We start from the raw sequence: 24,395 nt of genomic DNA, 5'->3' as shown, positions 1-24,395 counted from the left end.
AGGGGCGGATTCGTGGCCAACACCGAGGGGAAGGGACCAATGAAGAGCTAGCTTGATCCTTCTCCCCGTCCCTGGTTCTGCTGGACCAGTCGCCGCCGAGTTTCAACGCCGACTACACTCTTACGCGGTGGGAGACTGACGCTCTTCTTAACCAATAAGAATCTACAAACAAAACGCGAAGCGAAAGGCCCCGTGCCCTCCAGCCAATCAGAAGCTTAGGCGAGCTGGTTGCTGGGAGAAAAACAGATGTTAAATGAACTGCCTTTGGGTCGAATCTCATTGCCCCCTGAATCGTGGACGCTCCAGTTCAGAGCGAAGTCCCAAGAAACGTGTGTGTACGATGGGGTACGAGGCACATGGTGTCTTCTTGGGTGCTGGAGCCCTCGGTCTAGACCAGTAGTTCTTCACACTGCGTTAGAGTCCCCTGGGAACTTATTTTCAGATATCATTTACATATAGTAAAATGCATAGATCTTAAATGTACAGTTCAATGTCTTGACAAATGCTTTTGAAATCACCGATGTGTAGCAGGACAGATCCTCATGTAAGTGTTTTGGGTGAAGACTGGGCATTTTTTGGTTTGTTGGTTAGTTGGTTTAATTCCAGGGATTCTACCGTGAGCTAGGATAGGGTAGGGAAGCACTGGGCTAGAGGCTGGTAGGCTGTCACTGCAGCACGCCCCGGGAGGGCAGGATCCAGAATGGTCGTGGCCAATTGCCCAGAATAGTAATGGGGTGACCCAGGTTGGCTGGGTCCCTGTCTTAGGGAGGAGGCCTTGTGATCTGGAAGCAACCACAGGTCTTGGGACCTTTGAGGAGCCACTGGTCTGCAGTGTGGGGATGAATGAATTGTGAGCTGTGGTGTCACAGTTTTGAAGTTGTCTGCCAACTTCAGATAAGGCTGTGACCCCCAGGAGCAACTGGAGCTCCAACGACTTGGGAAAAACTGTACCTTGTACCCAACCTTGGAAGCTCAACTAGCTCCTATTCCCCAAGTGCCCTAAGCCTTTTGCTCCTGGCCTTTGCATAGATAGTCTCCTTGGCCTGAATGTTCCTTTTTCCTTTAAAAATTTCACCTTCAGGGCCGGGCTCGGTGGCTCACGCCTGTAATCCCAGCACTTTGGGAGGCTGAGGTGGGCGGATCACGAGGTCAGGAGATCGAGACCATCCTGGCTACGGTGAAACCCCGTCTCTACTAAAAATACAAAAAAAAAAAAAAAAAAAAAGAAAAAAATTAGCTAGGCGTGGTGGCGGGTGCCTGTAGTCCCAGCTACTCGGGAGGCTGAGGCAGGAGAATTGCTTGAACCCAGGAGGCGGAGCTTGCAGCGACCTGAGATCGTGCCAATGCACTCCAGCCTGGGCAACAGAGCGAGACTCCATCTCAAAAAAAAATAAACAAAAAATAAAAAATAAATAAAATAAATAAAAATAAACAAAATTCACCTTCAGGTCAGCTCCTGAAAGACTTCCCTTAAATATCACCTTCTCCAGGAAGCCGTTCTTAACCACCCACCCCATACCATGAGTCTAGGTTATATGGCCACCCCTAACTTGGCTAATATGGGCTCCCAGTGCAATGACACTTGATTTTTTTTGTTTTTGAGACAGGGTCTTACACCGTCACCCAGGCTGGAGTGCAGTGGCATGATCACTGCTCACTGAAGCCTCCAACTCCTGGGCTCAAGCGATCCTCCTGCCTCAGCCTTCCTAGTTGCTGAGACTACAGGCACACGCCACTACACCCAGTTAATTAAAATTTTTTTTTTTGTAGAGACAGGGTCTCACTATGTTGTCCAGGCTGGTCTAGAACTCCTGGGCTCAAGTGATCCTCCTGCCTCAGGCTCCCAGTGCTGGGATTATAGGCATGAGACACCGTGCCTGGCCAGACACTTGATTCTAATGGTTGCTTCTGCCTGTCTGTTTGGGAACTCTTTGGGTGTAGGGTTAAGTCTTGGAGCTAGCTCAGGGCCTGGCACAGAGCAGATTTAGGGAAGGTTTGAGGACAGATCCATCCCTGCTCCTTGGGGAGGCTTCCCAGCCTCCTCCCGGAAGGAGAGTGAGGGGTCCAGGAAACAGTGGGAGCGGTAGGGGCTTCTGTGGGCCAAGGGTGGTGCTTTGGTTTTCAATGGAGAGCAATACCTCTGTGGAGGGAATTGTTATAAAGTTTCACAAATGAGGAAAAGGGATACCAAGAAGTTAAGTAAATTGCCCAGAATGTGAGGGACAAGCCAGGCTTTGGAGTCAGACCTAGGCTCTAATCCCAGGCCCCTGCCTGACTGCCGTGTGACCTTGGCAGGTCACTTCTGTCTGGGCCTCAGTCTCCTCACTGCTAAGAGGTAATGGTATTTCCTGCAGTAGGAGAAGATTAAGTGGAAATCATCCACAGAACAGCACAGCATGTAGTGCAGAGAAAGCTCTAAAAATGTCTGCTGTGATCTCACTTCAGACAGGAAGAAAGGAGGCAAAGAATATGTATTGTTTTCCCCTTTATAAAATTGGCTTCTTTATTTCAAGGACAGAAAATAAAACTATCATTTGGGCAGCTGCTCCAGTTTTGTCCAAAATAATTTATTTACCAGCCTTACAAAAAACATGTCGGCAAGAGAAGAATCAGTCCCGTAGGAGCAGGCAAACCTCTCCTTCCTTCCGGTGGCTCCCCTAGGACCTGCCGGAGAGTGGAGAGTCCGGTGGGGGGGTCCCCAAGCCCAGGGTGGACGAGGAAAAGGTCAGGAAATAGAGGATTGTCCTGAGCCCTCCTGGCCATGGGGGCCGACCCAGTGGGCACTGAGGCACTTGTGGGCAAAGGCTGGAGGCCCATGCCCCTTTGTGGGGGGCGAGAGCTGTCCTGGGAGGGCCAGGTGGGGAGGGAGGGGGTGCTGAGGGCTGCTTAGGGAGAAACCAGCCACTCAGTTGGTCTCTGAGGCAAGGCTCCTGGGGCGGGGCTGAGGGGGGATAGCTGGGGGAGTGGGGACCCCACTGATAGCCTCAGGGGCTCCTCCCTCTGCTGTGGCAGCCCCCAGGTCCACCTGTGCAGGGTTACTCAAAGAGACTGGGCTGGGGGAGGCTGGACCTGGGGAGGCCGGGCTGGGGGAGGCTGGTGAACGCCGGCTTTGGCGCCGGGCAGGCTGAGGGGGTGTGGGGGGTAACGGGGGTGGCACTGTGGGGGCTCGGAGGCTGCTGCCAACCAGACGTCGGGGCAGGGCTTGGGGGGTCCCAGGGCTGCCAGAGCCAGGGGGCAAGGGCGGGGCTGGAGGGGAGGAGCGGGAGCCGGAGACCTGGGGGGGCGGCATGGTGGGCCGGGCTGGCGCCGGGCGCTTGGCTGTTGAGGAAGGAAAGGGTGAGGGAGGCTGAGTGTCCACGTGGCCTGTGGTGAATCCACCAAGCTCCGTGCCCCCTCACAACCTTTGCATCTGCTGTTCCCTCTGCCGGGAACACCGTTTCTGCGGCTGGCTCCTCATCGTCTAGGCCTCTCCTTGTGCCCTTTGCCCCCTTGGAGGCCCTCCCCGAGCACCCTAGTTAGAGTCCCACCCCATGCCCCACCCCAGCTGCTCCGTCACATTTTCCAGATGTATTTTCTTCGCAGGACTTTTTGTTCTCTGAAATTATCTTGCCCATTTATTTTGAATTTTTAAAAGTTCTTAAATTTTGAGACAGGGTCTCGCTGTGTTGTCCAGGCTGGTCTTGAACTCCAGGGCTCAAGCTAGCCTCCTGCCTCGGTCTCTCAAAGTGCTGGGATGACAGGTGTAAGCCACTGTCCCCGGCCTATCTTGTTCATTTTTATTTTACTGTAGACTACCTACCAGCCCTGGTCACGAGGCTCCCAGAGCTGTTCCGCCTATTCCTGGCTGTCCACTGCTCATTGCCTCCACTGAGTGTCAGTCACTCTCTCACCTGGTCAGCTCTGGGCCAAACTGACAGGTGAGTGTGCCAGAGGGGCTCAGAAGGAGGCCCCTGGTTTCTTCCCACCCCTGCCACCTCCTCTCCTTCACTGCCACTGCCTTTTTTCTTTTTTTTTTTTTGAGACAGAGTCTCATTCTTGTCACCCAGGCTGGAGTGCAGTGGCGTGATCTTTGCTCACTGCAGCTTCTGCCTCCCGGGTTCAAGTGATTCTCCTGCCTCAGCCTCCTAAGTATCTGGGATGATAGGCACCCGCAACCATGCCCAGCTAATTTTTGTATTTTTAGTAGAGGTGAGGTTTCACCATGTTGGCCAGGCTGGTCTTGAACTCCTGGCCTCAAGTGATCCACCCGCCTCAGCCTCCCAAAGTGCTGGGTTTACATGTGTGAGCCACTGTGCCCAGCCCCTTCACTGCCCTTTGAAGACTCCCTCCTTCCACTGTAGTCTGTGACCTCTGGGCTTCTGGAGGGACGGGACTCCAGTACCCCAGTACTCACGCCGGCTCCCCCTTAGTGGGCACGTGCTGTGTGCCAGGGCCAGGCACTCTTCCTGCAGCACCACTGCAGGCTCCATGCAGCCCCATAAGGTAAGTGCAGACACTGTCCCATTACACAGAGGAGGAAGGTGAGGCTCAGACAGGTGAACTCACCTGCCCAAGGTCAAATCTAAACCCAGAGTGCCAGGTGGCAAGACCTGGGCTCTTTATCACCTTGACTCCTGGCCTCCCCTGGCTGCCTAAAAAGATAGGAGGACCTGGGACTGCCTGTCCCCTCTCCCCGCCCACCCTCTGTCCCCTCCTCCCCTCCCACAGCCAACTCACTCCTCCGAGCCATGTCCTCCACTGGGGCAGCTGTCTCCGGGGGACTCCTGGTGACCTTGGGGGAGGCTGGTCTGGGAGGCACCTCAGACTCTGTCCTGCAGAGGGAAGGAGAGGATGGGGCAGACTTAGCCACCTCCCAGAAGTCTCATGGAATCCTGAGGAGTCTCCAGCTGCCAGGTGGAGTCCGGATCCTCCCAGCACTCGCTCTCTATCACTCTGTCCCCATGCCACGCACCCCTCCCAGAAGATGCTTCTGGCATTGGTTGGGGTCTGCATCCACTGAGCCCCTGGCTGCTTTGTGACCCTGTGACAGAGTCCATGTTCCTCTAGGGACCAGGAGGGAGCCCCACCTGCCTGGTAGGTAGGGCCAGGATGGGAGGTGGGACATAGGGCCTGACCTCTGCCTCAGCTCAGGGCCTCCATGTGGTTTTTTTTCTTGAGATGGAGTCTCACTCTGTCGCCCAGGCTGGAGTGCAGTGGTGCGATCTTGGCTCACTGCAGCCTCCACCTCCAAAGTTCAAGCAATTATCCTGCCTCAGCCTCTGGAGTAGCTGGGATTATAGGCACACACCACCATGCCCAGATTTTTTTGTTGTTGTTTTTTTGTAGTAGAGACGGGGTTTTGTCATGTTGTTCTTGAACTCCTGGTCTCAAGCGATCTTCTGCCCACCTCGGCCTCCCAAAGTGCTGGGATTACAAGTGTGCGCCACCTAGGCTTGTTTTTTTTTGTTATTGTTGTTGAGAAGTCTCGCTCTGTCGCTCAGGCTGGAGTGCGATGGCATGATCTTGGCTCACTGTGACCTCCGCCTCCTGGGTTCATGGGATTCTCCTGTCTTGGTCTCCTGAGTAGCTGAGATTACAGGCGTGCGCCACCATGCCCTGCTAATTTTTTGCATTTTTAGTAGAGATGGGGTTTCACCATGTTGGCCAGGCTGGTCTCAAACTCCTGACTTCAAGTGATCCACCTGCTTCAGCCTCCCAAAGTGCTGGGATTACAGGTGTGAGCCACCACACCCGGCCATTTCTTTTTCTTTTTTTTTTTTTTTTTGAGATGGAGTTTCACTCTTGTTGCTCAGGCTGGAGTGCAATGGCACGATCTTGGCTCACTGCAACCTCTGCCTCCCCGGTTCAAGCCATTCTCCTGCCTCAGCCTCCCGAGTAGCTGGGATTACAGGTGCGCACTACCATGCCTGGCTAATTTTTTGCATTTTTAGTAGAGATGGGATTTCACCATGTTTGCCAGGCTGGTCTCAAACTCCAGACCTGACGTGATCTACCTGCCTTGGCTTCCCAAAGTGCTGGGATTACAGGCGTGAGCCACCACACCTGGCCATTTCTTTTTGAGAAAGGATCTCACTCTGTTGCCCAGGCTGAGTGCAATGGCACAATCATTGCTCACTGCAGCCTCGACCTCCTAGGGTCAAGAAATCCTCCCACCACAGCCTTCTGGGTAGCTGGGACCACAGGTGTGCACCACCACACCGACCTCATTTATTTTTTGTAGAGACACAGCCTTGCTATGTTGCCCAATCTGCCTCCAAGTGATCTTTTTTTTTTTTTTTTTGAGACGGAGTCTCGCTCTGTTGCCCAGGTTGGAGTGCAGTGGCGCAATCTTGGCTCACTGCAAGCTCTGCCTCCTGGGTTCACACCATTCTCCTGCCTCAGCCTCCCGAGTAGCTGGGACTACAGGCGCCCACCAACATGCCCAGCTAATTTTTTGTATTTTTAGTAGAGACGGGGTTTCACCGTGTTAGCCAGGATGGTCTCGATCTCGCCTGCCTCGGCCTCCCAAAGTGCTGGGATTACAGGCGTGAGCCACCGTGCCGGGCCACGTGATCTTTATGAGATGCTTTGGCCACTGGAAGCCAGAGAGTGGGTGAGAAGCAGAGGGGGTCCTAGGCTCATTCCTCACTGCCTTCGGGTCTCTGCTTGGTCGTTTCTTCCTTAGCGAGGTCTTTCCTGGCCCCACAGCTAAAGTAGCCCCCACGCTCCCCCTTAACCTGCTCCCCCTCCCTTAGCAGCGCCTCTCCACCTGACACTATAGAGAGAACGCACTGGTGGCTGTGCTTGATGCTGTCTCTCTCTCTCCCTGTGCCCTGAAATGTGAGCATTTGTCTTGCTCATCAGGAAATTCAAGGTGTGAGCCGCAGTGCTCTGTGGTATCCTGAATAGTAGCTGCTTGGTATGGAGGCACCACGGTACCACGAAGCCCTTCCAGATTTAAACGATCAAAGAGAAGACGGTGGCCAAGCACTGTGGCTCATGCCTGTAATCCCAGCACTTTGGGGGACTGAGGCAGGCGGATCGCTTGAGGCCAGGAGTTCAAAACCAGCCTGGCCAACATGGGGTAACCCTGTCTCTACTGAAAATACAAAAATTAGCCGGCTATGGTGGTGCACGCCTGAAGTCACAGCTATTCGGGAGGCTAAGGCAGGAGAATTGCTTGAACCCGGGAGGCTGCAAGTGAGCCAAGATCTCGCCATTGCACTCCAGCCTAAGCAACAGAGTGAACTCCATCTCAGAAAAAAAAAAAAAAAAGAGGCTGGGTGCAGTGGCTTACACTTGTAATCCCAGCACTTTCAGGGGCCAAGGTGGGTGGATCATTTGAGGCCAGGAGTTCAAGACCAGCCTGGCCAACATGGCGAAACCCCATCTCTACTTAAAATACAAAAATTAGACAGGTGTGGTGGCACTCACCTGTAATCCCAGTTACTCGGGAGGCTGAGGCATGAGACTCAGTTGAACCTGGGAGGCACAGGTTGCAGTGAGCCAAGATTGTGCCACTGCACTCTGGCCTGGGCGACAGAGTGAGACTCTGTCTTAAAAAAAAAACAAAACAAAACTGGAAGGTATTTATAGATTCCAAAATGATCATCTCTTGAGTTCCCTAGGACTGGAAACAAAGCCTGGCATATAGTAGGTGCTCAGGAAATTGCTACATGATGAATAGGGCACACATCAGTGGCTGAGACAAATTCCGCCTCTGAGTCTCTGCCCCACCCTCTCCAAACTAGGAGATCCGGTCTTTGGGATGAAAACACTAATAATTACATTTCCAAAAATTCAGCTTCCAGCTCTGAGACATGGCGCCTCAGGCAGGCTGATTGTGGGAGTACCACAGGAGCCATTCAAGCCCCTCAGTCCTCACCTTTCCTTGGTAGCTGCTGAAGCCAAGGCTGGGGCCGGAGCTGGAGCTGGAGCCGGAGCCGGAGCCGGGGTGGTGGCTGGGGTGGGCACGGCAGTGGACGGAAGTTCCTCAGAGGCCAGCCTGTCACTGACTGTGTCCTGGAGGGTAACAGCTGAGAAGAGGCCTGACACGTTGAAGTTGATGTCTGGAGACAGAAGGAGCGGAGACGGCTCTCAGAGACCGCGCCAGGCTCCTCACTCCACTGGCCGGGACCGTTTCCCCTTCCCCTGAACCCATCTGGACCATGTTCAGCTTCCCCACTCCCGTGTGAGCCTCACCACCACCCCACAAAGCAGGCAGACCATCCCCGTTGTAAAAATGAGAAACTGAGGCTCAGACTTCCTCCTGGACTTATGGTGAGTTTGTGGGGCTACAGGGGAGGGAGCAGGGCAGAAGGAGGGCACCCAGCAGGGCGTCCATGCAGGCAGGAGCTTCACCTCCAGGGAAGAGGGTGTCTGCGCTCTGGATCAGCGCCTCGACGACGCCCACCACCTGGATGGAAGACACGGAGGCTGCATCCAGCTGGGCCTGGTCCCTGGGACAAAGAGATGCATCTGCTCAGCAAAGGGTTTGTGACCCCAACTCTCTGGCTGGCTCTGTGCTGGGCAATGGAGACACAAGGATCCATCATATTGAGTCCTTGTTCTCAAAAAGCCCACAAACCACCAGTTGATGGTAAATGTGTCACTCACATGCCAAATGTCCCCCTTCCTTCACCCTGACAGACATCACTAATTAATCAAGGACCCTTTTCCTCATAGTTGTGATCTGGACAGCCTCTACCAAGCAAATGCAATCAGCACGTGGGAGGAAATCTTGCCATCTGTGGCCAGGTAAATAATGATGACTCCTCACATAGCACTGCACTTTACACTTTAATTTTATTATTTCTTCTTTTTTTTTGAGACAGAGTCTTGCTCTCTCACCCAGGCTGGGGTGCAGTGGCCCGATCTTGGCTCACCGCATCCTCCACCTCCCAGGTTCAAGAGATTCTCCTGCCTCAGCCTCCCGAGTAGCTGGGATTACAGGCGCGTACCACCACGCCCAGATAATTTTTGTATTTTTAGTAGAGACGGAGTTTCACCATGTTGGCCAGGCTGGTCTCGAACTCCCGACCTCAGGTGATCCACCCACCTCGGCCTCCCAAAGTGCTGGGATTACAGCTGTGAGCCGCTGCCCCCGGCCTATTTCTTCATTTTTAGAGACAGGGTCTCATTGTGTCACACAGGCTGGAATGCAGTGGCTCCATCATGGCTCACTGCAGCCTTGACTCCCTGGGCCCAAGCAGTCCTCCCATCTCAGCCTTCTGAGTAGCTGAGACTTCAGGTGTGCACCATGCCTGGCTAATCTTTTTAATTTTTTGTAGAGACAGGGTCTCATTAAGTTGCCCAGGCTGGTTTCAAACTCCTGAGTTCAAGTGATCTTCCCACCTTGGCCTCCCAAAGTGCTAGGATTACAGGCATGACACTGGACCTGGCTTGCACTTCACAGTTTCTAAAACATTTTCCAATTCATCATATCACTCACTCCCCAAAGCAAAAGCCCTCAAAGTTTGTATGATTTCTCCCCAATTTACAGATGAGGAAATCGAGGTTCTGAGGGTGTCTTCCTCAGGCCCATCTCTGGAAGGTGGAGGGGTGGAGCTATTAGTAGAACCTGATCGAGCCAGGCGCGGCAGCTCACACCTGGGGCGCGATGGCTCACACCTGTAATCCCAGCACTTTGGGAGGCCGAGGCTGGTGGATCACGAGCTGAGGAGATCGAGACCACCCTGGCTAACACGGTGAAACCCTGTCTCTACTAAAAATACAAAAAATTAGCCGGGAGTGGTGGTGCGCACCTGTAGTCCCAGCTACCTGGCAGGCTGAGGCAGAAGAATCGCTTGAACCCGGGAGGCGGAGGTTGCAGTGAGCCGAGATTGCGCCACTGTACTCCAGCCTGGGCAACAAGAGCAAGACTCCATCTCAAAAAAAAAAAAAAAAAAAAGAACCCGATCTCTGGGCTCCCAGCTCCCCCATGCCACTAAACACCTCATCACCACCACTGGCCAAAATGCCAGAATTGCCTCTCTCCAAAGCCCTGTGGCCTGCACAGCCCCTTTGGCCTGTTCCTCACGGCAGCCTCAAAAACAGGAGCTGCTCAACCCACTCCAAAAATGGGGACACCAAGGCCCCGGGGAAAAATAGACAACAGATAGTTGGGATGGGATCTGCCTTCCTCCTGCCACCTCCCCCAGCCCGCGGCCCCTCACCCTTCTTTCTCAGGTGGCCACAGCAAGTTGGGTCCCAGGACTATGGCGATGTTGCTGGGTGTCATCTTGTTCACCTCCTGCTCCTCGGCCAGCCGTGCCAGGAACTTCATCAGGTACCTAAGGGCGGAGGCAGGCTTAGGCCAGGGGCAGAACGCACCCAGCCCTGAGAATTCTCCAGCCCAGGGTTTCCAAAGAGTGTGAAAGACACCGCCCAGAATGGTCTTAACATTGTCACAGTTAAATCAGCTTATCCACTGAGTGCCAACCCTGCAGTGGGCACTGAGCCAAGCTGAGTCCTCAGCAGCCACCCTACAGGGTAGAGATTGTTACAGTCTGCATTTTCCAGATGATGACGCTGAGTGGCCTGCCCAGAGGTGGCATGTGAAGCCAGGCGGTATGGCTTCAAAAGTTCAAGGTCTCATTTATTTCAATGCTTCGCATAAAAATGTGTGACTAATCCGGCTGGGCGCAGTGCCTCACGCCTGTAATCCCAGCACTTTGGGAGGCTGAGGCGGGTGGATCACCTGAGGTCAGGAGTTCAAGACCAGCCTGACCAACATGGTAAAACCCCACCTTTACTAAAAATACAAAAATTAGCCGAGTGTGATGGCAGGCGCCTGTAGTCCTAGCTACTCGGGAGGCTGAGGCAGGAGAACTGCTTGAACCCAGGAGGCGGAGGTTGCAGTGAGCCAAGACTGCACCACTGCACTCCAGCTTGGGCGACAGAGTGAGACCCTGTCTCAGAAAAAAAAAAAAAATTATATATATAAATGACTAATCCATCAAAGCTGCATTTTCAGTAATATTTCTTAGGATACAGTGGCAAGGCCAGGCTCAAGCCCAGGGTCCCAGGGTCCGTGACCTCAGCTGGGCTCTGGCTCTGCGGCAGGCTGGGGAGGCGGGCTCGGGCTCACCTGAGGTTGCTGAGGTTCTCGGGGGGTAGGCGGCTGCACACCTCTTGGAGGGCCTGCAGCCGGGCCCCTGGCTCCTTCAGGCTGGGGGGGAGTGGAGAGACCTGTCAGCCAGCGCAGGGCTACACCTTTGCATCCTCCTCCTCCCCATCCCCTCCCTCCTCCAACATCCTCACCTGGCTGCCCTCATCCAGTCATCATAGAGGTCGAAGGTCATCAGAGGCTCTGGCAGCTCCCGCAGATAGGACTTGAGGGCACCTGAAGGAGGGGTGTGGGGAGGGTCAGAGGCAGCCCCCACCCGCTCTCCCACTCTCCCTGTAGAAGGAACCTCCGGCCCTTGTTCACACTAACGTGTCTAGGTCTGACAGTTTCTTTGGGCTGTAGGCCCTTTTGAGAAAATGAAGGCTAGCCATCTTGTCCCCAGAAAAATGCCAAACATTTTCGGGGGGCTCATGATGGACCCCACATTAAGAACCCGAGTGTCCTCAGTCTCAACAGAATATCAAGTCTTAAAGCCAGGCTATCTTGGGATCGTTTCAAGCCACTGCACCCCCTCCCCCCCAACCTCCTGCCCAGGGCTCCCCGGATCAGGCACCTGCCACAGCGTGCGGGTCGGAGCAGAACTCCTCCAGGCTGTGGGGGTCCGAGGCCATTGTCTGCTTGAGACGCTTCAGCACCGAGGCCCCAGCAGCCAGACGGAAGAGACCCTGGGTTCGAGAGGAGGCAGGCAAGGGTCACAGAGGGGTGGGCAGGGCAGGACACCCTGGCGCACTTGTAGCCTGGGGTGTGCCACTGGCCTTTGCTAGGCCTGTGTCCCCGCTGGTCTGGCTGGCAGTGTGGGCACCACGGTGTCCACGGGCTTCAACCTTCAAGGTCTAGAATTCTGAGCAAAGGGCAGGGCTGGGAAGTCTGGGAGGAGGCGGGAAAAATCATGGGGAAATGGAAGCCCAGTCAGAAGTGGAAGGGAGGGGCCGGGTGCAGTGGCTCACGCCTGTAATCCCAGCACTTTGGGAGGCCTGTGCAGGTGGATCACTTGAAGCCAGGGGTTTGAGACCAGCCTGGCCAACATGGTGAAATCCCATTTCTACTAAAATAAAAAAAATTAGCTGGGCATGGTGGTGGGCATCTGTAATCCCAGCTACTTGGGAGGCTGAGACACAATCGCTTGAACCAGGGAGGTGAAGGTTGCAGTGAGCCAGGATCGCACCACTGCACTACAGCCTGGGTGACAGAGCGAGATCCTGTCTCAAAAAAAAAAAAAGGGTCGGGCGCAGTGGCTCATGCCTGCAACCCCAGCACTTTGGGAGGCTGAGGCAGGTGGATCACCTGAGGTTAGGAGTTCAGGACTAGCCTGGCCAACATAATCTCATCTCTACTAAAAAATACAAAAATTAGCTGGGCGTGGTGGTGCATGCCTGTAGTCCCAGCTACTTGTGAAGTTGAGGCAGGAGAATCGCTTGAACCCAGGAGACAGAGGCTGCAGTGAGCCGAGATCACGCCACTGCACTCCAGCCTGGGTAACAGAGCAACACTCCATATCTCAAAAAAAAAAAAAAAAAAAAAAGTGTAAGGGAGAAAGGAGGCCCCAGCACAGCAGGATTGCTGAGCAGCGCAGAACTGTTTTGGGGTATCTGCCACCACTAGGGTCTATCTTCAGGACAGGGGGGCAATGTATTCACAGCAGATCCAGCCAGTGTGTGGCAGTGGAGCCCCTGGTTTGAGAAGTCACCTTCTCAAATGACTCTGGGCATGGTTACCTCTCTACCTCTGTCTCCCTCTTGTGAAATTGTGAAATGGAGCCTGGAATGCAAAGGCTTCTAGTACAGCGCTTGGCCCACGCGAGCATTGACACGGGGGAGGTAGTGTGGATGCCGCAGGAGGCAGTCATGTCTTCTCCCAGGGAGCTGGGCTCGAATGAGGGAATTACAGGCACCCGGAAAGGGCAGCAAGTGGGCGGTTTGGGACAGAATGAGGGCCCCAGTGCTCCTTCCCCACCTGCCCCAGGGGACCCCACCTCTTCCTTCATGCCCTCAGAAAGCAGCATCATGACGCAGGCCTCGATGGGCAGGGCAATCTCCCGGCCCAGCTCTTGCAGGTGGGTTGCCAGCGACACCCCATACACCCTGGGGAAGTGGGTGGCTGTCATCGAAGGGGAGTGGTCTGCAGGGATGAAACAGATCAGCGGCCCAGGGCCTTCCCACCCCGAGCAGTCAGGCAGGGGCACCCCCCCTTCATGTCCTCAAGGTGGTACCACCTGCCACTGACTGTCCAGGCACACATCTGAAATCATCCGTCACATCTCTCGAATCAGCCCGCCTCCACTGCCTCTGTCCTAGTCCAGGCCACCGTTGCCTCCTTCTGCCTCACAGGCCTGGCTCTAGTCCTGCCCGCTTCACTCCACCCTCCACACAGTAGCCAGAGCTGCCTCTCCATCACAGATTGAGCCTAGCTCTCAGAACCCATCCACAGCTTCCTGCTACCTTTCAGGATGAAGTGCGAGCTTCTCAATAAGCCCCGAGCAGGGCAGGGTCAGGGGTGTGGTATCGCCGGGCCTATGTCCCCACCTGCTTGGCCGTGGTTCTCCCTCAGCTCAGCCAGGGCTGTGTCCAGCGAGCTCAGTGACCTGCGATGGTAATCGGCCTGAATCTCCAGGAGCTGTGGGGATGAAGGGACACCCTGAGCGGAAGTGGGGGAAGCTGAGCCTTCTATAGGGTCCTTGAGAGCAGACGCCCCCTCCACCATCTTAGAGCCCCAGTGGCCCCTGGCTCTGGCATTCAGCCCCTGAACTCTGGATGGCTGGGGCCCGGTCTTGGACTCACACGAATGAAGTAGTTGGCATAGGAGTCCTCCTTGGTAACAAAGTGGTACAGGTCAGCCAAGTACTCGTCCTTGGGGACAGAGAGGGGAGAGCTTACGTTGGGTGAGGCTGTGGGGTCTAGAGGGGAAGAGGAGGCTTGGAAGGGTTGGTGACCTCCCCCAGGCCACACAACTGCAGGTGGAAGGTCCCAGCCAGGCTCCTCTCTCTGCCAAGGTTGGTGCTTGGGGCCAGCCCCTGGGAACTCCCTCAAACTTTTCTGGCTTCTCGTCCCCATCTCTGTGTCTCCATAGACTTAGCACAGTGCCTTGTTTTTTGTTTTGTTTCGTTTGAGACGGAGTCTCACACTGTTGCCCGGGCTGGAGTGCAGTGGTGCAATCTTGGCTCACTGCAACCTCCGCCTCCTGGGCTCAAGCGATTCTCCTGCCTCAGCCTCCTGAGTAGCTGGGATTACAGGCGCCCGCCACTACGCCCAGCTAAGTTTTTGTATTTTTAGTAGAGACAGGGTTTCACCATGTTGGCCAGGCTGGTCTTGAACTCCTGACCTCATGATTCGCCTGCCTCGGCCTCCCCAAGTGCTGGGATTACAGGCGTAAGCCACCGCGCCTGGCCTTGCACAGTGACCTGTTATTCACCATTCAGTCATTCTTTCATTCACTCTTCATTTATTCATTCACTCGCTCGCTCAGCAAACAAACACATGGAGACTCAGGGAACAGACCAAGTCTCTGCCTTCCCAAGTTATGCATGGGGTACAGACAGAAGAGGCTACGAGGGAATGGCGGAGCTCTGCTGGCTCCTAGCCACGTGGCCTTAGGCAAGTCATGTCACCTCTCTGAACTTCAGCTTCCTTGCCTGTGAGATGGGCCAGGACCCACCCCTGCCACCCCTACATATCCAGGGGACCCCCATGGCCCTCACCCTGCATTGCTCCACTTTCCTCTTCAGCTCCTCCTCCTCCTCCTTCAGCGTCTCCACCTTGTTGGCCATGGTCGTATGGCTGTGACTACCCGGGCTGCCTCCTAGGCCTTGACTGCTGCCTGAATTCTTGGTTGCCTGACTGAGCCTGGAGATGATCCCAAGGTGAGCTGGTCACCTGCCCTGTTGCATGTCCAGAGCCAAGTGTCCCCTCCATACAGCAGACCACATGGGATTCTAGGATTTAGAGCTGCAGATCTGAGAGCTCCACTGGCCGGGGCCTCTGCCCAGGCTGGGCCATGAGTGCTCTGGGTTGCCCCCTGGTGGCAGATTTGGTGATCACAGCCACTCCACAGAGGGGAGAACAGGGCTGCCGCAGGACTGTTTACAGGATCCCAGGCTTTAGGGTTGCCCCAGCACCAGCTGTGACACACGCGGGCACACCCTCACAGATACGCTAACCACCTGTGCTCCTAGGGACCAGGCGTGCACAAGTACACACACTGTACTCAGCAGACCCCACAGCATCCTCCTGGTGTGGCCAGGGCCTCAAAGCTCTATGACCATCTCTGTGGGCTGACCCAGATATGAGCCCCCTGAGCGGCTGGGGCTCCCACCTGCTCTTGAGTGTGTTCCAGTCGGACACGAGCTTCTGGAGGCTTTTCTTGTGTTTGAGGATGGCTGGCAGCTCCTCCTGGGGATGGGCATGGGGGGGTCAGTGTGCTGGGGGAGGAGGGAGCCAGAAGCTGGGGAAGCTGGGGGCTGAAAGCAGGGCACAGGCTCACCTCACTCAGCCTGCTGAGTGGCTGCAGGACGTCCCTCTCCAGGGTCATCTCAAACTCGGCCAGGATGCGGGCCAGCTGATTCTGGATGGCACAGCTCATCTCCAAGGCCTTCCTGTGGACACGGCACCCCATGGGTCCAGGCGCCCGCTGCCCTCACCTCCACTGGAAACACTTGGTGGGGCCTCTCCTCCCTCACTTCCGGCCCCTCCTAGATATCCTTCATCTCTGCTAAGCTGAACACCCTCCCAGGCCTGGCCACCCTCACTGACCTGGGAACTGTCCCCAGCCTGGTCATTCTTCTGATGTGGATGCCCTCACCACCTGGACCCCCTCCCAGCTGAGATCACGTCTTGGTATCCCCAGGTGAGGGCTGGGCCCCGTCTGTGCTCACCCCATGCTGGAATCAGGGTCCAGCTCCTTGAAGCTCTCAGCCATCGTGGTGGACAGAGCCATGAGGGGAAGCTTCTTCTGCAGGGAGGGTGGGGCCGGCGATGAGTGTCCGTGCCTCCCTCCACCCTGCCTGAGCACCAGGCCAGCCCCTTGGGGCAGGGGAGGAGGGAACCCAGGAGGGCCACAGTCCCAGATGAGAGTGGAAACAAGATGACAAGGCGTGGTGGGGGTGACATTTCCCTGAGAGCATGGATGGAGCCCCTCTCCATCTGGCGTGCCCTTTCCTCTTCCCAGAAGCCACTTGACTGGGCAGGAAGGAATGACCAAGTCCTACTGCAGACTGGGAAACTAAGATGCAGGGAGGGCAGGGAGCTTGCCCCAGGTCACACAGGTGGAGGGAGAATGGGAGCGGGAGCTCTTTCCCCTGTCCCAGGGTATATATGGCTGACCTAGCCACCGCTGAGTTCAAACGCTCTATGGCTCCCAATTTCCTTGCCTTGGCCACACTGAATTGTCAACTGATTCCAAAACATGGCCCCACACTCCCACCCCATCTGGAGTTACGGGGAATGCCTGCTCTGGGATCAGAGACCAGGGTTCAAACCTCAGTTCTGCCACTTACTAGCTATGTGACCTTGGACAAGTGACTTTATCTCTGAGCCTCCAGTTCCTCATGTGTAAAGCAATGCCTGCCCCTAGGGTTGTGCCAGTGTTCCATGAGACAGTGCACTCATATGTTAGTAACAAGCTGGCGGTTATCAGCCAATAAACGCTGCCTCTTGATTAATAAACGTGTATCCCTCAAAAGCCAGCTCAATTGCTACCTCCTTCAGGAAACCCTCTGAGGCCGCCCCATTGACAGCCTGCTCTTGCGCACTGATTGGACAGAGAAGTTCAGGTGCTGTCAGAAGCCTGGCCTTGGCTTATGGGAACTGGTGCACAGGGAAGTGGGGTAAAGGTGATGGGGAAGGTATAGGGCCTCTTGAGTGCAGTGCCAGAGGGGCCTTGGAACAGAGCAGTCTCCATGCCCTTGGTGCCAGACACTCAGACTGGCAAGGAAACCCCAGCCCCGACCTTGCTTCCCCATTGGATGGAAGTCTCCTGCTCAGGCCCCTCCTTCCCGGGACCCCCCACTCACCACCCGCTTGTCCATGTCTGCCCCGCTCTGGCCCTGCAGACAGGCCTGCAGCCGCTTGTGGATGTTGTGGGCTGCCCGCTTGGCCGGCTCCAGCCGCTGTTCTACCTGGGAAGGAGGTATGGAGGTTAAGGATCAAGAGAGGCTGTCTCCCCCTGAGCAGGAAACTTTCTCCTGTCCCCTGGGGACCCCATGGCCAACAGCTTGAGGAATGACTCAACCCAGGCCCCTACCTGGCGTCCCCGCCCCGGCCCTCTGCTCCGAGACAGCCTGCACAGGCCTGCCTTCCCACCTGCCCGGCCCAGGCACGTACCTGCAGCAGGTCCTCACCCAGGAACTCAGCGGTCTCCGGGGTGCTGCGGGGAGTGGTGGGGGGGGGGGGGAGAGTGCTTCTGCTGAGCCTGCCTGGGTTAGAACGCCCCCTACTTCCCTTCCCCGCAGCAGGGCACCTGGACCCCAGTGCTTCCACTGTCCCTCCCAGCTGAGGCCTGCCCTGGGTGGCCCAGTTGCTTCATCCCAGTCGGAGCACATTCCATGGGGGTGGGAATAGGATACATGGGTTTTTCCTCCTCCACCCAGGGCTGTGTCCTGAGAGAGGGCGGACAGATGAAACTAAAGGGGAGGCTGAGAGACCCACCCGGGGCCCAGCTTTGGGACACAGAAGCCTCTTTTCTGCCCACTCCCAAATCCTCAGCCCACCCCGGGATGAGGAGTATTAGCTGGCCCCAAGAACGGGAAGTGCAGGAGCTCAGACTCCTAGGCACAGTCACACAGCACTCTGGACTACAGCTGTGGGCAGGGGTGCACAGGCCCTTGGCCCCCACCTGGGGACACATGGGGGATGCCAAGGCCCACTGCAAGGTGGTCTGACTGTCCAGGCTATGTAGGCATCTGTGCCAGTGTGAGACTAGAACCAGGTCTCTGGACACCCAGTCCCCTCCCTGGACCCAGAGAATGGGGAACTCCTGAGGCTGGGGGAAGAGGAGCAGAGAAGACAGGCTCTGAGAGGCTCCCCAAACTTCCGGCCTCCGTGCCACCGGCTCAGAGGCTGGGGGTGGGAGCTGGGAGACCTGGGGATATTTCCACCTGAGTCCAGGAAAAGCAGAAACGAGACAGAAGCAGGAGGCCCCTGGGCTGGGGGGAGGGGGAGGGGGAGGGACGCTGCAGGCCAGGGGCAGGCCCCTCCTCCCACCAGGCCAGGACCCATCTCCTCCCCTCGCCCCAGGTCTGTGGCCCTAATCGACCCTCCTCCCTCCCCGGCCCAGCAAGCAGAGGTGGTGAACTGTCCCATTGTCCAGAGGGGACAAGTGAGGTCAGGAGGACCATCCACTTAGAGACTCGTGGAGGCAGAGAAGTCCCAGCGTCCTAGGGCAGAGAGCATTCTCCCGCCTGAAGCCCCCTCCAATCCGGTAAGGGGGGGCATCCCTTCCCCCAAAGGCCACCCTTGCTCCTCCAGCTCTGCCCGAGAGACGGGGGCGGCGTTCAGAGAGGAGGAAGAGAGAGCAGGAGTCTGGCCGCTCAGAGGGTGGCTGCCCAGCTGTCCCCAGCCTCCCCCACCCCCGTCTCCCCCGACCCTTTTACGACCCCTCAAGTCCTGCCGGGGTAAGAGTGGGGCTGGAAGCGGGTGACACTCACCGTCCCAAGCTGCCCGTCTGGGCCAGCTGCCGCATGCGGTGCAGCTGCCTCTTCATCATCTTGGGGGCGAGCTGGGGGCTGCGGGGTCACGGCGGGGGTCGCGGGCCCGGGGAGCCCCCGGTCCAGCCTGCCTCTCCTGCGGCGCGGCTCTTGCCCCGGATGGGTGGGCGGCGCTCTCGCTTCCTGGGCCGCCGCGCGGCTCTTGCTGGCGGCCGGCTCTCTCCTCCCCCGCTCACGACTCCGCCCCCGGCCCCCAGGTCACTCCTCTCTCCAAGTTGGTTTCCTCGCTCTTCCCCGGCTTCCGGGCCCCCGGGCGACCCCCGGCCGGGCCCCCGCTGCTGTGTGTCCGCCGGCCGCGGCCGTCCACAGGTTGTGCCCGGCTCCTCCTCCCCGCAGCGCCCCGCCCAGCCCCGGTGGCGGGAAGCAGGTAAGCCCATTCCTGCCCCTGCGCCCGCAACCCGCCCCAGGCGGGGTGCCTGCCCCACCCGCAGCCTGCAGACCCGAAGTATAAATAACCTTTGCATCCCTCGCAAAGAGGAAAGGGTACCAAGCGAAAGAGGGGTAGGCCTTTCTGACCTGTCCTGGCCTCTCTGGGCCTGCCGCGGATACTGCCTTGCACTCTCTTCCGCAGAGGACCTCTGGCCCCCTGGAACTAAACCCCCCACCACTGGATGACTGGCTGGGAGCTTTGGCTTCCTGGGGCCACGGGCTGCTGTGTGGCCGTGGACAAGCCCCTGGAACTCCGGACTCGCTGTTTCTAATGGTCTGATGGGCCAGCTGTCCTGGGCCTGCCCATTCTGCAGAGTGGACAAGACACCCCTGCCAGCTCCCTTTAAGGGAGGTGCGTGCCACCCCTCAGCCACCAGGAACCCTCCCAGAGCGGTTCGCGACACCCTGTTCTCCACATCTCCTGGCAGTTTGCTCCATCTGTGAAGCCCGTCTCCTCTCATTCCTCCTGGCAAACAGCCTCAGTCCCCCTTCCTTCTTGTAGGGCAATGATGTAGGTGCTGCTCTGACTGCCCCCAAACTCAGTAGTTCTCCTCTTTGGCCCTCCACTCAACACAGAGTTAGGCATACAGTAAGTGCTCCATAACTGCTGGTTTTACAAGATGTGAGCGCCTTTAGGAAACAGTAGGCTCTCCTTACCCTGCACCCCTGTGGCATCAGGAGCCGCAGGCGTGGGGAAGAGGGGAGGGTGTGCCCCAGAGTCCTGCCACACCCTCTGCACTTTGCTTTGTTAGTTTCAGTTTAGTTTGAGACTATTTGAGCCACTACTGTGTGCCGGTGCAGACTGTGTGCCGGTGCAGACTGGGCGCCTCTCAGAGGCAGGACCTTGGCCCCACACATCTCCATACTCCCAGCACCTAGCCCAGGGCCTGGCACACTCACTGGCTGCTTCTCTCCTCCCTAATGAGGCAGGACTCATTGGGGGTGGGAGGAGCTGAGAAGGGAACCCAACAGCTGCCTGCTATGGCCAGAGCCTCCCAGATGGGAGCCCACCTGAGTGTGGAATCCTGGTGGGAAGTTGGGAGGCTCCAAGATCAAAGCTCAGGCCAGGATGAGATGTCAGGCAAGGTTCCCTCCCCCATCTCCCTTTTCCCAACAGGAAGGCTGCTGGCCAGTGACTATGGGTGGCATGGCAAGGGAACCTCAGGTGCCATCCTTCCTGTCCCTCGGGAAGTCTCTGGACTATGTGGTGCCCCTGCTCTGTTCCAGCCAAGCCTCCAGCCCAGACCACACCGGGCCTGGGCTTGTCTGGTTCTGTAGCTGGTCTGAAAGTCCTTGAAGGCAAGGTTTGGCTTACACCTCTGTCTCTCCTAGATTTGCCCAGTCCTGAGCCCCAGCTCCGGCCTGGTGAGGGGTCAGTACACGTGGGTTGTAGCCGCAGCTGTGGTGGAAACTACCTGAGCCATATTATCAGTCTAACTGAGCTCTTGCCCCGCGCTCCTGCCCTGGTCTCCAGACTCCCCTCCAGCCAGACCTAAGGGTCCTGGGCAGGAGAGACACCCTGGGCCTTTGAGTCGGATTCGGGTGGGGCTGCTGTGCCTCCTAGCTGGGTGATGGGTAGATTTTAGGCCCTCCCTTGTCACACCTGGATGTTGAATCATAGAAGGATGGACTCCCCAAAGGTTGGGTTAGGGTTATAGGCTGTTCCTTAGAAGGAATTGTAATCAGAGACTTACGGACTCAGAAGTTTTGATCAGTGGGTGTTGGGATCATGGCCTTTCTAAACTGCAGACACAGAAGGGGTACCTCAGAGCTCCCCAGCCAACCCCTCGTGGGGCCCTTCCCCAATCCAGGGGCCTGTTGGCTTGGGTCATTCTCTACCAGGCTGGTCTTAGCTGGCTCCTGCTAAAGCCTCTGGGACCCGGCAGTGTGCCTGTCACAGTGGCTCAGGCAGCAGGAACAGAGAGAGCTTAAGGGTGTGGAGGAGGCTAGCTGGCCAGGCTGTGGCTGTCATTAGCTGGGTAACCTTAAGTGGGACACTTCACGTCTCTGAACCTCAGCATCCTCCTCAGTAAATTGGAAATAATAGTACCTACCTCACAGAAGCGTTAGGTGAATTAATAGATGCAAGATGCTTATAAAGTGCCTTGCGTTGTTTCTTGTTACCATCATTATTCAGCTTGCCAAGTCAGGAATGGAAAGACCCCTTACCCCCATTCCTGCCCCAACGACCCCTGTGTGTGTCTAGCTGCCTTAGGACAATGGGACTTTTTGTTGTGCTATAGCATATCCTCCAGTGAGGGTGGTATCACTGTCCCCATTTTACAGGTGAATAGCCCAAGGCCCCTGGCCTAAGGTCCCCAGCTGGAAAAGTGGTAGAGGCCAAGTTAGGAAACAGATCTGACAGTCTCCTAAGCCCACGTGGGCTCTCCTGCTGTGCCAGACCCAGACAGCCTTGCCTGGGAGCTCCAGAAATGCTGGCCCTTGGCTCTGCCTTAACCCCTGTGGTTGCTTTGAGGGCCTGGCAGCCTCTGTGCAGATTTGTCTGTGAAAGCCTGGGACAGTCTGGGTAGCATGTGCTAGTAAGGCTTGAGCAGGATGTGGGCAGGGAGGTCAGCAGCTGAGTGGTGGTGGTAACGGGGGTCGGAAGCAGGGGCTGCAGGAGCAGAAACATCCCATTTTAGACACTTTGACAAATTGCCTGTTTGTAGTATCCCTCGGTGCTGCCCTCTGTGTGGACTTCCACCCAGAGCAGCTAGGGGCATAGTGAGATCTCTGGGGCTCTAAAAACTCCCTCACCTCCCTCCCCAAGCCCAAAGGACTTTCCAGGAAATCCTGGGGTGGCCCTAAGGCTGAGAACTCCATTTTAATCCTGATAGCCCTGGAGGAGTGTGTACCCTGAGCCCAGCCCCAGAGGACAGCCCGACAGAGGCTGGGGGGAGGACTTGGGAGGTATGGGGCAATGTGCCATCCTGGTAGACACCTCAAGACTGCTGGCCCAGACTCAGCCCATAATGTGTGACTTCTCTGAGCCTCACTTCCCATTTCACAGGGCATTTCAGAGGCTTAAGATGGGAGGCTATAGGCATCAGGTCCGGGGGCTCCTCTTGCCTGCCTTGCTGGGCTGGTGCCCTGGTTGCAAGGCCCAGAGAGACTGGGGGAGGGGGTATGTCGAGAGACCAGGCAGACCAGGCACAGTAGCTCACCACAACACTTTGGGAGGCTGAGGCAGGTGGATCGCTTGAGCTCAGGAGTTCCAGACCAGCCTGGGCAACCTGGCGAAACTCTATACAAAAAATAAAAATATTAGCCGGGCATGGTGGCACGCGCCTGTGGTCCCAGCTGCTCAGGAGGCTAAGAGGGTAGGATTGCCTGCGCCGAGGAGGTCAGGGCTGCAGGGAGCTGTGTTTACAACACTGCCCTCCAGCCTGGGTGAGAGACCTTACCTCAAACAAACAAACAAAAAAACCAAAAAACTGACTGGGGGCCGGGTGTGGTGGCTCACGCCTGTAATCTCAGCACTTTGGGAGGCCAAGGCAGGTGGATCACCTTAGGTGGGAGTTAGCCTGACCAACATGGAGAAACCCCGTCTCTACTAAAAATACAAACTTAGCAGGATGTGGTGGCGCAGGCCTGTAATCCCAGCTACTCGGGAGGCCGAGGCAGGAGAATCGCTTGAACTCGGGAGGCAGAGGTTGCGGTGAGCCGAGATCGTGCCATTGCACTCCAGCCTGGGCAACAAGAGCGAAACTCCGTAAAAACAACAACAACAAAAAACCGACTAGGCAGGAGCAGGCTCCCAGGCCCTTGCCACTTCTCCTGGCTGCCATAAACAGACGAACAGTGTGATGCGGTTGCTGAAAACCAAAATTAACTGGTGCCTCGGCCAAATCAACAGAAATGGAAGTGGGGCTTCGAGATCTGGGAAGTCCCACTGGTCTTGGCATGGCACTGGGGGTCACCCTTCAAGAGACAGAGCACACGCCTCCCCAGTGCACTGCATCCCAGCCCCTGAGACTGCAGAGCGCAGTGGCCCGGACCTCTGTGCAGCAACACGGTATTTGGGGAAGGACTCCTCCAGGGAGTGGAGGCCCAGGGTCCTTTCCTCTGGTTAGAACCCACCCCAGACTCTCAGACAGATGCAGGGCTTCTGTGGTACCTTATGTCTTTGCTCTCAGGGTGCCACACTGGCTCCCAAGTCCTTGCCAGCTTGTGAACTCTTAGGACAGGGGCTGGCCCAGGGGCTGCTCAGGAAACACTGGCATGACTGACAGGATGGGTGGGTTAAGGACAAGGCAAGGGACAAGGTCCAAAGGCTGAAGGGACCCCACCTTCCCGTCCCCGGAATATCCTGGGTCACTCCAAAGCTGACAGCCTGGCTCCTTTGTCCAAGGACTCCTCAGAGGGACCTTATAGCTCATTGAGTCCCTCTCCCCTTTTCCAGAAAGGAAAGCATCTTCCTCAAAATCACACAGCAAGCCAGTGACCCAGCCAGAACCAGCCCCCAGACTCCCAGCTCACAGTCCCACCTGTTCCCCATGCCAACCTGTACTCCTCCCTGCCATGGCCAGTAATGAAGACTGTGCTGGAGGTGGGACTCTGGCACCCCAAGTGGATGCTGCAGGGGTTATGGTTTCATTTCAGGTAGAAGAAACTTCCAACCGGAGTTATCTTCAGGAGACATCACAAGTGTGGAGGCGAGTCCTGCAGGGTAGGGAAGGGGAACAGGAACGAGGCCACGTGGCTGGGACAGGGTGTCTGGAAGCCTCCAGGGGCCAGCCTCTGTCTGGAGGGCTGTGCCAGGGTGGGAGTCCCACTGTAGGGATCTGATAGGAGGCTCCCGCAGGGTGCAGCTAATGCCTCTTGTCCCCTCAGCAGTAAGGCGGACATGGAGGAGCTCTCAGCCTGCGCTTTCAGTGTGGGCCCAGCAGAGAGGGGCCCCTTGCTTGCTGATGAGTGTTAAAGAGCACACACGCTGGGATGCGGGTGTGCTGGGCAATTCTCCAGCATGTCACAACTATATCTAAGGAGAAGGGTTCAGCGGCCAAGTTCAGATTGGGAAACACTAGATTAGACAAAGTGAAAATGGCTTCTTAAATGAGGGACTTCCCAGGGTCTGTATGGGCTCATCTACTCAGGAGAAACCGTGCGCAGCCTCCCTGGACTCATCTGAGCAGGGAACACTTTCCTGCAGAGCCACACGCA

The 24,395-nt window shown here is 56.6% G+C and overlaps 1 protein-coding gene and 1 long non-coding RNA gene across 3 annotated transcripts, besides 6 other annotated features; one reads left to right on the top strand and one right to left on the bottom strand.

Annotated features, from left to right (window-relative positions):
* Positions 181-230: an enhancer, noted in NCBI's record as "active region_18986". NCBI's record gives its function as "activates an Ori minimal core promoter by ATAC-STARR-seq in GM12878 lymphoblastoid cells {active_cell/tissue: GM12878}" and the evidence as "EXISTENCE:reporter gene assay evidence [ECO:0000049][PMID:35858748]".
* On the top strand, positions 213-16,758 carry PDXP-DT (PDXP divergent transcript). Its single transcript, NR_109952.1, has 6 exons — positions 213-335; positions 7,878-8,259; positions 8,665-8,736; positions 10,168-10,267; positions 14,829-14,963; positions 15,626-16,758. It is a non-coding gene; the product is annotated as a PDXP divergent transcript (long non-coding RNA).
* Positions 241-310: an enhancer, noted in NCBI's record as "active region_18985". NCBI's record gives its function as "activates an Ori minimal core promoter by ATAC-STARR-seq in GM12878 lymphoblastoid cells {active_cell/tissue: GM12878}" and the evidence as "EXISTENCE:reporter gene assay evidence [ECO:0000049][PMID:35858748]".
* Positions 2,473-18,921, bottom strand: SH3BP1 (SH3 domain binding protein 1). 2 transcript variants are annotated; one of them, NM_018957.6, is made up of 18 exons: positions 18,744-18,921; positions 17,422-17,464; positions 17,112-17,216; positions 15,975-16,051; positions 15,584-15,695; positions 15,416-15,492; positions 14,802-14,946; positions 13,885-13,953; positions 13,630-13,720; positions 13,080-13,225; positions 11,661-11,772; positions 11,242-11,323; positions 11,069-11,149; positions 10,155-10,271; positions 8,341-8,438; positions 7,865-8,048; positions 4,717-4,811; positions 2,473-3,318 (listed from the first exon to the last, which is right to left on the bottom strand). In NM_018957.6, exons 1-18 carry the CDS (start codon positions 18,800-18,802, stop codon positions 2,906-2,908), a joined length of 2,106 nt encoding a protein of 701 aa, NP_061830.3. In that variant the 5' UTR covers positions 18,803-18,921; the 3' UTR covers positions 2,473-2,905. The 2 variants fall into 2 exon arrangements, with proteins under 2 accessions (NP_061830.3, NP_001336984.1); NM_001350055.2 differs by having other exon boundaries at positions 2,473-2,664.
* Positions 18,704-19,143: a silencer, noted in NCBI's record as "silent region_13690". NCBI's record gives its function as "represses an Ori minimal core promoter by ATAC-STARR-seq in GM12878 lymphoblastoid cells {active_cell/tissue: GM12878}" and the evidence as "EXISTENCE:reporter gene assay evidence [ECO:0000049][PMID:35858748]".
* Positions 19,174-19,323: a silencer, noted in NCBI's record as "silent region_13689". NCBI's record gives its function as "represses an Ori minimal core promoter by ATAC-STARR-seq in GM12878 lymphoblastoid cells {active_cell/tissue: GM12878}" and the evidence as "EXISTENCE:reporter gene assay evidence [ECO:0000049][PMID:35858748]".
* Positions 19,954-20,248: a silencer, noted in NCBI's record as "tiled region #10481; K562 Repressive non-DNase unmatched - State 14:Gen5'". NCBI's record gives its function as "represses a minimal TATA promoter and a strong SV40 promoter by Sharpr-MPRA in K562 cells {active_cell/tissue: K562}" and the evidence as "EXISTENCE:reporter gene assay evidence [ECO:0000049][PMID:27701403]".
* Positions 24,163-24,252: an enhancer, noted in NCBI's record as "active region_18984". NCBI's record gives its function as "activates an Ori minimal core promoter by ATAC-STARR-seq in GM12878 lymphoblastoid cells {active_cell/tissue: GM12878}" and the evidence as "EXISTENCE:reporter gene assay evidence [ECO:0000049][PMID:35858748]".

The sequence above is a fragment of the Homo sapiens genome, chromosome 22, assembly GCF_000001405.40.
Source record: "Homo sapiens chromosome 22, GRCh38.p14 Primary Assembly".
Lineage (NCBI taxonomy): Eukaryota > Metazoa > Chordata > Mammalia > Primates > Hominidae > Homo > Homo sapiens.
This window is presented reverse-complemented; position numbering and strand designations above follow the sequence as displayed.

Coding starts and splice junctions, on each gene's coding strand:
- SH3BP1 (NM_018957.6), bottom strand. CDS start 18,802: ATGATGAAGAGGCAGCTGCACCGCATGCGGCAGCTGGCCCAGACGGGC. Junction 13,954..14,801: donor GGAAAGTGGAGCAATGCAGG/GTGAGGGCCATG, acceptor TCTGTCCCCAAG/GACGAGTACTTGGCTGACCT. Junction 13,721..13,884: donor ATGCCAACTACTTCATTCGT/GTGAGTCCAAGA, acceptor TCATCCCCACAG/CTCCTGGAGATTCAGGCCGA.